The sequence below is a fragment of the Homo sapiens genome, chromosome 6, assembly GCF_000001405.40.
Source record: "Homo sapiens chromosome 6, GRCh38.p14 Primary Assembly".
Taxonomy (NCBI): domain Eukaryota; kingdom Metazoa; phylum Chordata; class Mammalia; order Primates; family Hominidae; genus Homo; species Homo sapiens.
This window is the reverse complement of record NC_000006.12, coordinates 124930147-124944210: the sequence shown is the minus strand read 5'-3', so window position 1 is coordinate 124944210 and position 14064 is coordinate 124930147. Positions and strand designations below refer to the sequence as shown.

General features: G+C 35.1%; 1 long non-coding RNA gene across 1 annotated transcript in view; it reads left to right on the top strand.

Annotated features, from left to right (window-relative positions):
• RNF217-AS1 (RNF217 antisense RNA 1) overlaps positions 1-14064 on the top strand; it is a 54785-nt gene that overhangs the window by 18817 nt on the left and 21904 nt on the right. Inside the window, exons 4-5 of the long non-coding RNA NR_026876.1 lie at positions 9094-9203; positions 12473-12515. This is a non-coding gene — a long non-coding RNA (RNF217 antisense RNA 1). The remainder of the gene's footprint in view (positions 1-9093; positions 9204-12472; positions 12516-14064) is intronic.

Genomic DNA, 14064 nt, shown 5'->3' with positions numbered 1-14064 from the left:
ACAACAGTATCAGAAACTGAAATACATGGCAGTACATTTAAGAAAAGTGTAGAAGACTCCTATACTGAAAATTACAAGATATTGCTGAGGGAAATAAAATAAGAGCTAAATAAATAGAGATATAGTATGTTTATGAAATGAAAGACTCATTATTGTAAAGATGTTGATTCTCCCTAATACATCTATAGATTTAACACACTGCAAAGACCTTTTTTTTGGTAAAAAATGACCAGTTAATTCAAAAATTTACATGGAAATTCAAAGGACCTGGATATAGACAAAGCAGTCTTGGAAAAGAACAAAGTTGGAGAACGTATTACCTAACTTCATGACTCACTGTAAATCTCTCACTAATCCAGACAGTGTGATACTGGCATAAGGTTCAACCAATAGAGTAATGGAACAGAATAAATATCACAGAAATAAGCACATGCTTTATACAGCCATTTGACTTTTGACAGTAGTCTCTAAGCAATACTATGAAGAATAAGGTATTTTCAATAAATGATGCTGAAATAGCTAGGTACTAATCTTGAAAAAAATGACAGTACATCTGCACCTTATTCCATATATAATAATTAACTTGCAATGTCTTATAGGCCTAAATATAAAAGCCTAAATCATTGGGATTTTAAGGAAATCAAAAAATAATGTCTTTATGACTTGGGCATAGGCAAAAATGTCTTAGATATGGAAAGTAACAACTGTAATGAAAATTATAAATTATCAATTTGTTAAACTTAAAAGCTGCTCATCAAAAGAACAGATGAACCATGAAGTTGAAGTCTGGGAGAAAATATTTTAAAAACATATCTGATAATAAAAGACTGGTATCCAGGTTACATAAGTTGGCTGGGCGCGGTGGCTCACACATGTAATCCCAGCACTTTGGGAGGCTGAGGTGGGTGGATCACGAGGTCAAGAGATCAAGACCATCCTGGCCAACATGGTGAAACCTGGTCTCTACTAAAAATACAAAAATTAGCTGGGCATGGTGGTGCGTGCCTGTAGTCCCAGCTACTCAGGAGGCTGAGGCAGGAGAATCGCTTAAATCTGGGAGGCAGAGGTTGCAGTGAGCTGAGATCACACCACTGCACTCCAGCCTGGCGACAGAGTGAGACTCCATCTCAGAAAAAAAAAAAAAAAAAAGACTGGTAGCCAGGTTATGTAAGTAATTCCTATGACTCGATAATAAAAATGTTAAACAATCCAATAAAAAATAGGTAAAGGATTTGAAAAGAGAAATTCACAAAAAGGATATATGGATGAATGACATGCACAAAAAAGTGCACATCATTAGTCATCAGAAAAATACATTTTAAAACCTCAAGGGGCTACACATCTGTCAAAATGAGTAGAATTAAAAAGACTAATAATATCAAATATTGTTAAGGATGCAGAGCAAGTAGAATTCTCATACATGAAAAGATCTAACGATTGAATATAAACTAAACATACCTACCCTATAACACAATAATTCCAATTCTACCTATTTACCCAAGGAAAACAAAAACAAGTGTTTTATGCATAATAGTCAAAACCTGGAAGTATAGGGAAATGTATCTGAAAGCCTGTAGTATACTTACATAATGTAATATTATCCAGCAATAAAAAAAGAATAAGCAAGTGATACACACATTAACATGATACATTTTAAAAATATTATACTAAGTGAGAGATACCTTACAAAAAAGCACCTACGATATTATCCCATTTATATGAAGTTTTAAAAACAGGTCAATATAAAACATAGTAGAAAGAATCAGAACAATAGTTGTCCTTGGCAGTAGAGGAAGGGATTCCTTGGGAAGGAGAGTGAGGGAACTTTCTGAGGGGATGATAAAGTCTTTGTACAGGGTTGGGTTATATCAATACATACATTTGCCAATGCTTATAAATTTAAAAAATATTCTAAATATGCATGCTCAAGTATTTAAAGGAAGTGTACAGATGTCAGCAATTTATTTGGAATTATATCAAAAACATCAGATGGATTAATGAATGGAAAGATGGATAGATGAATAGATAAATGAAAAATAAACATAGTTAAATATTCATGGTAGTATTTAGGTGGTGGGTATGTGAGTGTTTACCATAATATTTTTTCCAATTTTCTTTATGTTTAAAACTTTTCATAAAATTGTTGAAACAATTTAAAATTGTTAAAATGTTGGAACAAAATCAGAACTATTTGTGAGAATGACTAAAATGTAATCTTATTTAAAGCTCTTGTTGGGTTTGCTTGAAGATGTTTTAGAAAGCTTCTTTGTGCCCCATTCAATTAAATAAGCATCAGGGGAAATTTCAATTCCATATTAATCTCTATAATCTTAAAATATAATTCTAATGATATTAATCTAAAATTATCAACAACCCAATTAGTAATTTACAGATAAACTAAATTATTCATGAAAAGGAGAGAAAAGCACAAACTAAGTCTAATTGTTTTCTACAGAAATTCAGATTTAATCCAGAGTGAAAACTAGAGAAGATGGTCTCTGGGAGAAATGTGGCCTGATTGGTTCTCATATGAGGAATAAGCTCCAAGTCCCTCAAAGGCATTATCCATTAACAAATATCTTCTTGCTCTCTTTGGCTCTCTATAGGAATTTAGACATGAAAGAGTGGAATATATTCTGTTTTAAAAATATTATTGCAAATTGTTGCACCTGTGCATCTCTTCCAGACTACTTTGAAAAGGGACTTTCCAGCTATCAGTACACTATCTCACAATTACCCTTGAACCAGAAGACAATGAATGATTTGCTAAACAGATGGCATAGTCTATGACATGCATCATATGTGTGAGCAATCACAGAAGGTATGACTTTTCTCATGAAATATTTTCAGACAAATATTTTAAGTTAATCTAACATTCACTAAATCTACCTACTGATTTTAGGTAGATTTTCTTTCTCCAAATATACATTTTTAAATAAAAATTTTCATTGTATTGCATTGTATTTTATTGGTTATCAACAGCACCATGTTCTTAGTTTTTTTAAAAAAAATGTTTAATGAGTTGTAATATTTGTGTCTTTAAGCAAGGGGTTCCCTCATTTTTCCTGTCTTTTCTGGCTTGATTTGAAGTTATTCCTGGGTATCAATATTCTACACACATTGTCTACTGCTTACCTCCAACACAGCAGTTTTCACTGTCATGTAATTATTTGTTTGCTCATCGCTCTTCCCCATGACCATCAACTCCTTGAAGGTAGGGCCATTATTTATACATCTTATAACTGAAGCTTACAGCATCAGATCAGTTATATGATCAGAACACAATGTTTGTTGTAGAATAAATGAATAAACTTTGTTAATTCACTCAGGTCTAACTAGTCTCCTACATGATGAAATATAGCTAAGAAAATTCAAAGTAGAGTTCCACAAAAGAAAAACAAAGTAAATATCAATTTATTAATTTATAATTTGATCCAAAGACCAATTTCCAAGAGGCTCTCTCAGGTACCAAATTGCTGAAGTCCTTTTCTAGGACATCTCCCTTCCTGGTGTCAAAGTACGTGGAAAACTGAAGCTTTAAGCAAAAGATGGCTTGGGTATATATTTAACCTAGCTTCTGTTGAAGCATCACTAGTCTGCAAATACCACATTTCTCTAGTGACCATCTTCATGTCTCTGAGCCTTAAAGAATACTGGTTAAAACACTAACAGATATTATGTTTCTGAATATGTGCTTTATTTGCTAGTTATCCTATTTCTAATGACATATTCAGTAGATTTGTTTATGTTGTAAAATGAAGTGCTATCAATTTATTGTTATCATGAACAGTCAGAATAAATATTGAAACCTCTTATTTGGGCAAAAACATGATCTGGCTCATTTTACTTTCTTGACTTCATCCCATAGTGTTCTCATTTTCTCACACTATGCTGTATACCTATGAGACTCCTGTATATGCCAAGCTTATTTCTATCTCAGGGACTTTGCACCTGCTATTACCCTTGCTTAGAATGTACTTTCCCCACCCCCATTCAGCCCCATTTAGGCATGGCTGTTTCCTTCTCTGAATCCAGGTCTCAGCTGAAATATAACCTCCACAGTTATTCAGTTATTCTCTGTCACATCACTAAGAGTTATTTTGTTCATAGCATTCATCACCAGATGAAATTATCTTTTTTATTTATTTCGCTTATTTATTTGTTGACTTTTCATTTGAATGAAGGCTCCATATGAAATAGAACCTTGTGGCAGTTTTTCACTACCGTAAAATCTGCCCCAGTGTTTAGAAGAATGCTTGATATTTAGGCCTTACATGCCTCAATATATTTGCTTAATGAATGACTAAAGACAGAAGACAGTCTTCTCTCATCACCTGTTGATATTTACACCGATTTTTGGAGTCTTGAGAACATTTGCAGTCTGCAACCTCACTTACCTTTCAAATATTATCACCCACTAATCTCTTCTTGTTATTTTCAGTTTCTCTGTTAGTCCATCTATTGTGATCTACAGATAATTTTAAGTACTTTGAGGTTAGGGCTTTTTTCTTATTTTTCTTTAAAATTCTGCACCCTTGTCTCCTCAGTAGTGATTGTGGTTTTTTTTTTTTTTTTTTTGAGACGGAGTCTCACTCTGTCACCCAGGCTGGAGTATAGTGGTGTGATCTCAGCTCACTGCAACTTCGGCCTCTTGGGTTTAAATGATTCTCCTGCCTCAGCCTCCTGAGTGCCTTGGGTTACAGGCGCCCATCACCACGTCTGGCTAATTTTTGTATTTTTAGTAGAGTTGGGGTTTCACCATGTTGGCCAGACTGGTCTTGAACTCCTGACCTCAAGTGATTTGCCAGCCTTGGCCTCCCAAAGTGCTGGGATTACAGGCATGAGCCACCGCACCTGGCCTTGTGTGTTGATTGTTTAATGGTTGCCCTTCCAAGAGAAGATGCCCTTTAGGCAGCTGGAAATATAGAACTACTCTGTAGTAAGAAACAGGGTACTAATTCACAATAGGAAAAACATGGAAACAGCCTAAATGCCCATCAACCAAAGAGTGGATTAAGAAAATGTGGTATATATACACCATGGAATACTACTCAGCTAATAAAAGGAATGAAATAATTGCATTTGCAGCAACCTGGGTCAAGTTGGAGACCATTATTCTATGGAAAGTAACGCAGGAATGGAAAACCAAATATCGTATGTTCTCACTTATAAGTGGGAGCTAAACTATGAGAGTAAAAAAGCATAAAAATAATATAATGGACTTTGGGGGACTCGGGGAAGGGTGGGAGGGGGTTGAGGGATAAAAGACCACACATTGGGTACAGTATAAACTGCTCGGGTGACAGGCACACCAGAATCTCAGAAATTGCCACCAAGGAATTTATCCATGTAACTAAAAAACACCTGTTTCCCCAAAACTACTGAAATTTAAAAAAAAGAAACGAGGTGCTCAGGTTGGGATTCAGTAACATGGGGATGAAACTGTGAGGTAAAATTCTCACTACCAGTTGAGTACCAAGAGGAGCAGAAGATCCTGGCAAGGAACTCTGTGAGATAAATTAGGAGAGGCAGAAGCAAAACAGGAGAGTATTCACTTAGAGGAAGGGGGAAGGTGGGAGTGGGGAAGTTATTAAGACAGAAACAGGATATAATTTTAAGGAGTTAACAGCAGTGGATTTGGATAGGAAAAGCAGTTTCTCTGAAACTGTGCAATCAAAACATGATTACAAAATGTTCTGGAACAGAGTATTTAGCCATATATTTGGCATTAAAAATTCCTTCTTTACTTCCTTAGCAAGCAAAATATTGGATAAATTATTGTGATTTAATGGACTAAATGGTTTGACCTAATTTTCCAGATGGAACATCCACACAAATGTATTTCTATTACCTTAGATTTATTGGTTTCAAATGTAATTGTATCTGGATGTTCTTCATTTATCTGCACTTCATTTTATTTCCTGATAACCTCCTACATTTCAGTACCTTCTCTTTTGCTATCATCTTGCCTCTGCACCACTCCCAAAGTCATTTTAAAATGCCTGGTGGTGATGCTAGTTCATTGGAATATATTGAAGAGATCTCAGAGAAGGCACAATGTCCATAGATAAAAAGGTAGGATATGGTAGATAACAATTCCACCCTTCCATTCTTACCTTAAGAAGGGAAGAAGGATGTGTCTACTGAAAATCTACCCAAGGTGTCTTGTAAAGGTAACCGGGAGGAGAGCAAGCTTTCTTGGAACATTAGACCCTTGGGATGAGTGTATAAAAGCAAACAGAATTATAACTCTTTTCAAAGAAGTTAATTAGTTCATTCAAGTTGGGGTTGAGTGGAAAGAACACGGTGTTCTAGTGCCAAATTGGTCATCAATTGGTTATATAATTGAATCAAGTTACGTAGCTTTCATGATTTCAGTTCTCATGTTTGAGCGATGAGAGGCCGAACTAGGTGGCCTCTAAGATCTCGCTGAGATCTAACATTCTGTCATCCTTCACAGAAGACAACTTGAATATAAAAAATAAAATAAAATACAGAAATGAAAAAAATCAGTTTGTTAGCTTTCCTGTTTAGATATTTAGTCCAGAACATTTCTGTTCTTAAAGTTTCCACATTTTGAAATCCCTTAATGATTTCAGAATTTCTCAGTTATTTCCATTTAAAAATTATGCAATTTTTCTTGACTGCTAAATAAACAAAACACAGAACACATTTAGAAGAATTTTCAAAAACTAAAAGGGAAGATAAATGACAAATAAAAATTTTCCAACTTGGTTAATTCCTAAGTTATACTTACTGTTAAAAACCAAAACTTCACAGTCAAAACAGAAGGGAGAGTTGAGGCAATGATTTTGGTTACTGTCAGGATAGGATAAAAAAGAATTTCCATAAATAATATGATATGGTATAGAGAGAAGCATGTTTTCTTTATTTAGGCCCACAAGCCTAGAGAAAGAAGGAGAGAGAGAGAGAGAGAGAGAGTCCTAATAATAATCTTTGGTGATTTTTCTACTTACTGGTTTAGGTGTATTAAAGATATTAATCTACTGCCTATTATAGATATTAATTTGCTTAGTAGATGAACAATATTATGATAGCCAATAACATATTATTTTACTCAACAATTGCTTTCCATAGGCATTCATGATTTTATTGGTACAAGAAATTAAAATACCAAGCTACAGATTAGTAGTTAGAGGAAATATGTCTAAGGTCTCATATGCACCTTTCTAATAAACTATGGTTTTTAAAGTCTCCCGTTAATAATTTGAAACAGTTGGATTATAGTGCATTGATTGAACTGCAGATCCAGTTAACGAGGACTCTTCTATGTACCTAACAGTTCCGTCCCATATCATAATGTTTGAGGTGTTATACTTACTCCTGTAAATGCTTTCTGGCACACCGGACTTTATGCTTCAAGAATTTAGTTATAAAAGCAACAGAATTTCATCAGAGACCTTAAAAAAATAAAGAGACGAGAGAAACTATTGTTGTCTATAAGGGCCTGCTTTGGGAAAGAAATGGAAGAAACTTTCACAAATAGGTCATCTTGACTTTATGCCATAACTAAAATGAACAAATAAATAAGAACCTAATTTTAGTAGTAGAATTGTGGAATCAGAATGAAATAATTTTGCCCAATTTTATGTTCTTTGGAAAAGTTTTAGAAGTCAGAAATGAGATTTCAATTTATTGAGAGCTACAATCACATGAGAATAATCCAAATACTAGAAACATTTTTTTTTGTTTCATGAAGAAGGAAATATTTGTGCAATTTTTAAATGTTATATTTATATTAAGAATTAAATATTTCCATGGTATTAAGTGACAAACAACAAGCAGACAAAAATTATAACAAAGAAGCAAATGAATTATAACAGAAGTTATTAAATTAACCAGCTGTTCATTCTAATGTACAAGTGAATGTTGGAACAAATTAAGACTAAGTCACTGTGTTATCCAAATTAGATATTGTATAATTCTCAACGGAACAGCTATTCTTATCATTTCCCTTGTATTTTTTTCTTACCTGAAACCTTATTAAGCACTGAACATTTGTAAAACATTCATTAAGAGTAGCAATATTATAAAACCTCTTTTCATCATTCAGGATGTTTCACAATATTAACAATTTTAAAAGTATTCTAGAATATAATCAGATTAAGCAATTAAATATGGACAATGTGTATGGGCACCTAAGATGGCTTAAATTTACCATTTAATTACATTTCTTTTCTTCAGGCAAAATTCTCCTTCAGAATTAGATTAAAAAGAAGACTCTTATATGAGTAGGTAAAATAAAACTTCCTTTATCATCTTATCTCATATAATCTATTTGCTTCCTAAAAAAATTCATGTTATCCTGGCCAGGTGTGGTGGCTCATGCCTGTAATCCCAGCACTTTGGGAGGCCGAGGCGGGTGAATCATGAGGTCAGGAGATCGAGACCATCCTGGCTAACACAGTGAAACCCCGTCTCTACTAAAAATACAAAAAATTAGCCGGGCATGGTGGTGGGCACCCGTAGTCCCAGCTACTCGGGAGGTTGAGGCAGGAGAATGGCGTGAACCTGGGAGGCGGAGCTTGCAGTGAGCCGAGGTCGCGCCACTGCATTCCAGCCTGGGCGACAGAGCGAGACTCCGTCTCAAAAAAAAAAAAAAAAAAAAAAAAAAGCTTCTGTGCAAATTGTAATATGACTCTTTAAATAAAGTTACATTTCAATAAGTTAGTTAGAGCCTGAAGTGACATAACTAAATGCAAAATTATATTATCTTTGAATAATAAGGAAAAAACTTATAGTTTATAGACTCATTACTATTTCTTATGAACAGTTTAATTGCCAGGACATATGGTCTACAGATCCCTTCAATTTCGTTTTAAATAATTTCATGATGTGGTTTTTTTTTTTTTTTTTTAAAGCTAATCAGGTAATCACAGATTGATATTGTTTGGCTCTGTGTTCCTACCCAAATCTCATCTTGAATTGTAATACCTATGTGTCAGTGGAGGGATCAGGTGGGAGGTGATTCCATTATGGGGGCGGTTTCCTCCATGCTGTTCTCCTGATAGTGAGTGAGTTCTCATGAAAGCTGATGGTTTTAAAGTGTTGCACTTCCTTGTTCTTGCACAGACTCCTTCCTGTTGCCTTGTGAAGAAGGCTCCTGCTTCCCCTTCACCTTCTGCGCGATTGTAAGTTTCCTGAGGCCTCCTAGCCATGCTTCTTGTTCACTCTGCGGAACTGTGAGTCAATTAAACCTCTTTCCTTTATAATTACCCAGTCTCAGGTAGTACTCTTTATAGCAGTGTGAGAAAGGACTAACACACAGATTGATTACAATGTTAGAAATATTTTTTAGAGCACATTTTTCTCAAACTTACAACAATTTAATTGGCTGGGCGCGGTGGCTCACGCCTGTAATCCCAGCAGTTTGGGAGGCTGAGGTGGGTGGATCACGAGGTCAGGAGATCGAGGCCATCCTGGCTAACATGGTGAAACCCCATCTCTACTAAAAAAAAAAAACCAAAAAATTAGCTGGGCGTGGTGGCGGGTGCCTGTAGTCCCAGGTACTCGGGAGGCTGAGGCAGGAGAATGGCGTGAACCCGGGAGGCGGAGCTTGCAGTGAGCCGAGATTGTGCCACTGCACTCCAACCTCGGCGACAGAGTGAGACTCTGTCTCAAAAAAAAAAAAACAAAAAAAAAATAATTTTTTTGCTTCAACACATCAATAATTCTGGGAAAAATCATGGTGGCCTGGTCGCTTGGGCTATATGTAAGAAACTAGGGATGTGGTGATGCTTATCTCCCCCACCCTGAATTAAAATCACTCTTCTATGTAATTGGTTGACAGCCTTTTTGTGTGTGGGACACCCTTTTGAATACAACTGTTGCTGAAAATTTGTAACACTTGAAAGTCTCAAAACAAATCAGAAAAATTTACAATAAAAACATTTCTGCTTATAACAAGATCTCACAGACTTTAGAAAAGCATCCATAGATAGTACATTATTTATTTGATTGCTTTTCTGAACCGTGCCTTTGAGAAAAACTCTTTGCTGTTCTACATTCTGTCTTATAGTCACAAAGCAAATTTCTTGTCTAGTCTTGTAAATACATAATTTTTCTTCAATATTGTTTGGACATTATGCCTTCTTATCTTTTCCTTAGTGCTAGCTGTATCCCACTTCGTCAAGTCTACTCTAAGTGCTCACATTATAATATTATGTAGCTGCATTTCTAACAGAAATGAGTTTTTCACACTGAAAAATTCCACAGTTCCGAGAACATTCCCAGCAACACCATGAGACACAGCATGTGAGAGTTGAGAAATGCTCGTCCAGAATCTAGTCTGCTTATATGTCCCTTTCATTGACTCCTGATTTATGCTTTTATACCCTGTATAAATTTCCCATTGTTCTGCATCATTTAATATTTTCCAGACATGTAGTGAGCATTGCTTAATTTCCCCTTTTTTGTTACTATTGAGTAGTTAGCCTTTTAAGATCTCCTTTTACTAAATCTGCTACCAATGATTGCTTTTCTTTGGATTAACTCCAACTTTTGTAGGTACCTTATCATAGAAGTAGAAGGGAAATTAAGAAATCTTTAGATCTAGGCTCCTAAAATAGGGGCAAAGAAACACAGCAGCATTTGGAGTATTCTCTTCTCTTCCATTCTTTTCTTAGTCTAGAATCTAGACCATCTGAGTAGCTTTGGAGGGAGTGCCATTTCAGAGCCTAAGACTTGGTGTAAGTCCAAAATCATAATGTTTAGGAGCCAATTTTAGGCAAAATTGGTTTATTCAGTAATGATATAATGCCATTACATTATTTCCCAAGGACTTATTTAAGATTTAATTTTCAATTGATAATCTATGGGCAATATATTGTCATATAGGGAAATTAAGAAAGCTAATTTTGGGGAATGTAAGAAAAACCAGCACATAATTAAAATTTTTAAAATTTATTTTTACTCTATATGAAGCTAGTCAGATACTAACTAAGAAAGAAGAGACTATATGAAAAATTAAAATATCAAAAGTTAAGGGAAGTATTGGAAAGCCAGACTAAATGAAAAGACTAGCCGAGTAAATGAATAAATGGCATACAATTTATATATAAATGCTTGGTTGAATGCTTACAATAACATTTGTGGAAGGAAAAATAACCCCATCACTTTCAATCTAGTATCCTTATTTTGTAGATGAGGAAACCAAAGTCATAAATGGTTAAGAAATTTGCTGTCACACAGTCAGTTAAACTGACTCCTTGGGTCTTGATCAAGTGCTAAATAAACCAGAGAATATGAAATTATACCTTAAAAATAAATTATATAAACACTAATGTTAAAAACAGTTATAAACTTGCAGCATTGTGATTAGAGGACATACAAGTTTTTACAGGTATAATTGTGGTAATTAGCTCCCAAAAATTTCCAAATGAATACATTCATATGAATATTTGAGAAATATGGTAAATATTGATAACGATATGGAGAAAACTTATTTAAAAGCTGTATTGGCATAACTAAAACGATACAGTTTAATCTTAAAAATGTCAGTGTAGCATATTCCATTCCAAAAAATACAATTTTATCCTAAGACGTACTAAAACCGAGCCTATTTCCCAGTCAGAAATATAAATTTATTTTTCTCCTGGTGATGTTTTGAGATAGACCCAGGAGCCTTTTCAGAAAGAAAATTGGTGTTTGGGTAAAGGGACACAAAAGTACAAGAAAGATAGAAAGAATACCAAAAAGTACAGCTATGATTTGTAATAGAGTAACTGAAGGCAGCCCCTGGAATGATCTTTAAAAATAAATGAGATCAAGTTCTGCTCTTGCTCAAAATTGCTCAATGGCTTTCCAAAGTTAAGTTCAATAGAAAGTCTTTCCTATGGCCTGTAAGGTTGGCCTGATTCCTCTTAGGTGACCCTTCTCTCCTCTGACTCCACCATAGATATTTTCCCTTTTCCCCAAGTTAATTTCCTCCTTGGGGACTAAATATTTTTCTTGGGGCCTTTTGGACTTTGCCTCCAGATGTAAGCATGGCTGATGTCTGCGCACCAGGCAGATCTCTGTGCACATGTTGCCCCAGCAGAATGGTCTTCCCTGTCTAGAACAACCTTCCACACAGCTGTCTGACATTTTTCTCCCGTTTTATTTTCCTGCCCAGCACTTACCACTACCTGGAATTATATTATCTATTGCCTGCCGCCCCCACGAGGATATAACATCCGTAACGGCAGAAATTAATACTTTGCAAAAACATATGTGTTTTCACTTATATAAGAATAATAAGATTTATTTTACATTTACTATGACTTCTGCATTACAAGTTCTTTTACACGCATTGTTTCATTTAGTCTTCATACTAACCTTATTAGGAAAATACTATTATTATCGTCATTTGCACATGGGCAAATTGAAGCTTATAGAAGTTTAAAATGTGTTATTTTATTACAGTTGTTACATATCTGGGACAGGATTCAAACTTAGGTCTTTTTGGCTTTAGGTCCTGAGCTGAAAAGAATATGAGAAATCGGATTTTACGACATGTAAGTGACATAAATACTCATATATACAAAGTGAAAGAGCTAAGGCAGAATGCAGGTATCATGACTCTCAAGGAATAGAATTACAAAGAGAATTTTTACAGAGCACTAAAGTATTACATTGTTGAAGATGAACATAGCTGAATATGTGATAAGCTCTTAAAAATAAAGCGTGCACTGCACGACAGCATTTTGGTCAATGACGAACCACATATGTGATGGTAGTTTTATTGGAGCTGAAAAATTTCTATCACCTAGTGATGTTGTAGCCATCTTAACATCACAGTGCAACTCATTACTCAGGTCTTTGTGGTGATGCTGGCACAAATGAACCTACTGTGCTGTCAGTCGTATAAAAGCATAGCACACACAATTATGTACAGTACATAATACTTGATAATGATAATAAATGACTCTAGTTTATGTACTTACTATATTATACTTGTTATTTTAGAGTGTACTCCTTCTGATTATTTTTTTAAAAAAAAGTAACTGTAAAACAGCCTCAGGAGGGTTCTTCAGGAGGAATTCCAGAAGAAGGCATTGTTTTCATAGGAGATAACAGCTCCATGCATGTTATTGCCATTGAAGACCTCACAGTGGGACAAATTGTGGAGGTGGAGGACAGTGATATTGATGATCCTGACCCTGTGTAGGCCTAAGCCAATGTGTGTGTGTTTGTGTTTTAATTTTTAACAAAAAAGTTTAAATAGTAAAAAAAAAATTTAATAGAAAAAAGCTTATAGAATAAGTGTATTAGGCCATTCTTACATTGCTATAAGGAAATGCCTGTGACTGGCTAATTTATAAAAGAGGTTTAAGTGGCTCACGGTTCTGTAGACTTTACAGGAAGCATGGCCCGTGCATCTACTCAGCTTCTAGCGAGGCCTCAGGAGGCTTACAATCATGGCAGAAAGTGAAGCGGCAGCAGTCACGTCACATGGCGAAAGCAGGAGCGAGAGAGAGAGTGGGGCATGGGGGAGGTACTGCATGCTTTTAAATGACCAGATCTCATGTGAACTTAGAGTTAGAGCTCACTTATCACCAAGGGGATAGCTCAAGCCATTCATGAGGAATCTGATACAAACACTTCCCACCAGGCCCTGCCTCCAACATCGAGGATTACATATCAACATGAGATTTGGAGGGGACAAATGTCCACACTATATTAATAAGGATATAAAGAAAAAAATATTTTTGTACAGCTGTACTATGTGTTTGTGTTTTAAGCTGTATGATTAGAAAATAGTCAAAAAGTTAGAAAATTTAAAAGTTTATGAAGTAAAAAAGTAACAGTAAGCTAAGGTTAATATATTATTGAAAAAATATTTTAAGTAAATGTGTATAGCTTAAGTGTACAGTGTTTATAAAGTCTAGAGTCCTAGGTCCTCACATTCACTCACCACTCACTCACTGACTCACCTACAGCAACTTTCCATCCTGCTAGCTCCATTTAAGTGCCCTATGCAGTCGCGTCATTTTTTATCTTTTATAGTTTATTTTTACTGTACCTTTTCTATGTTTAGATATGGTTAGAGATGCAAATACTTAG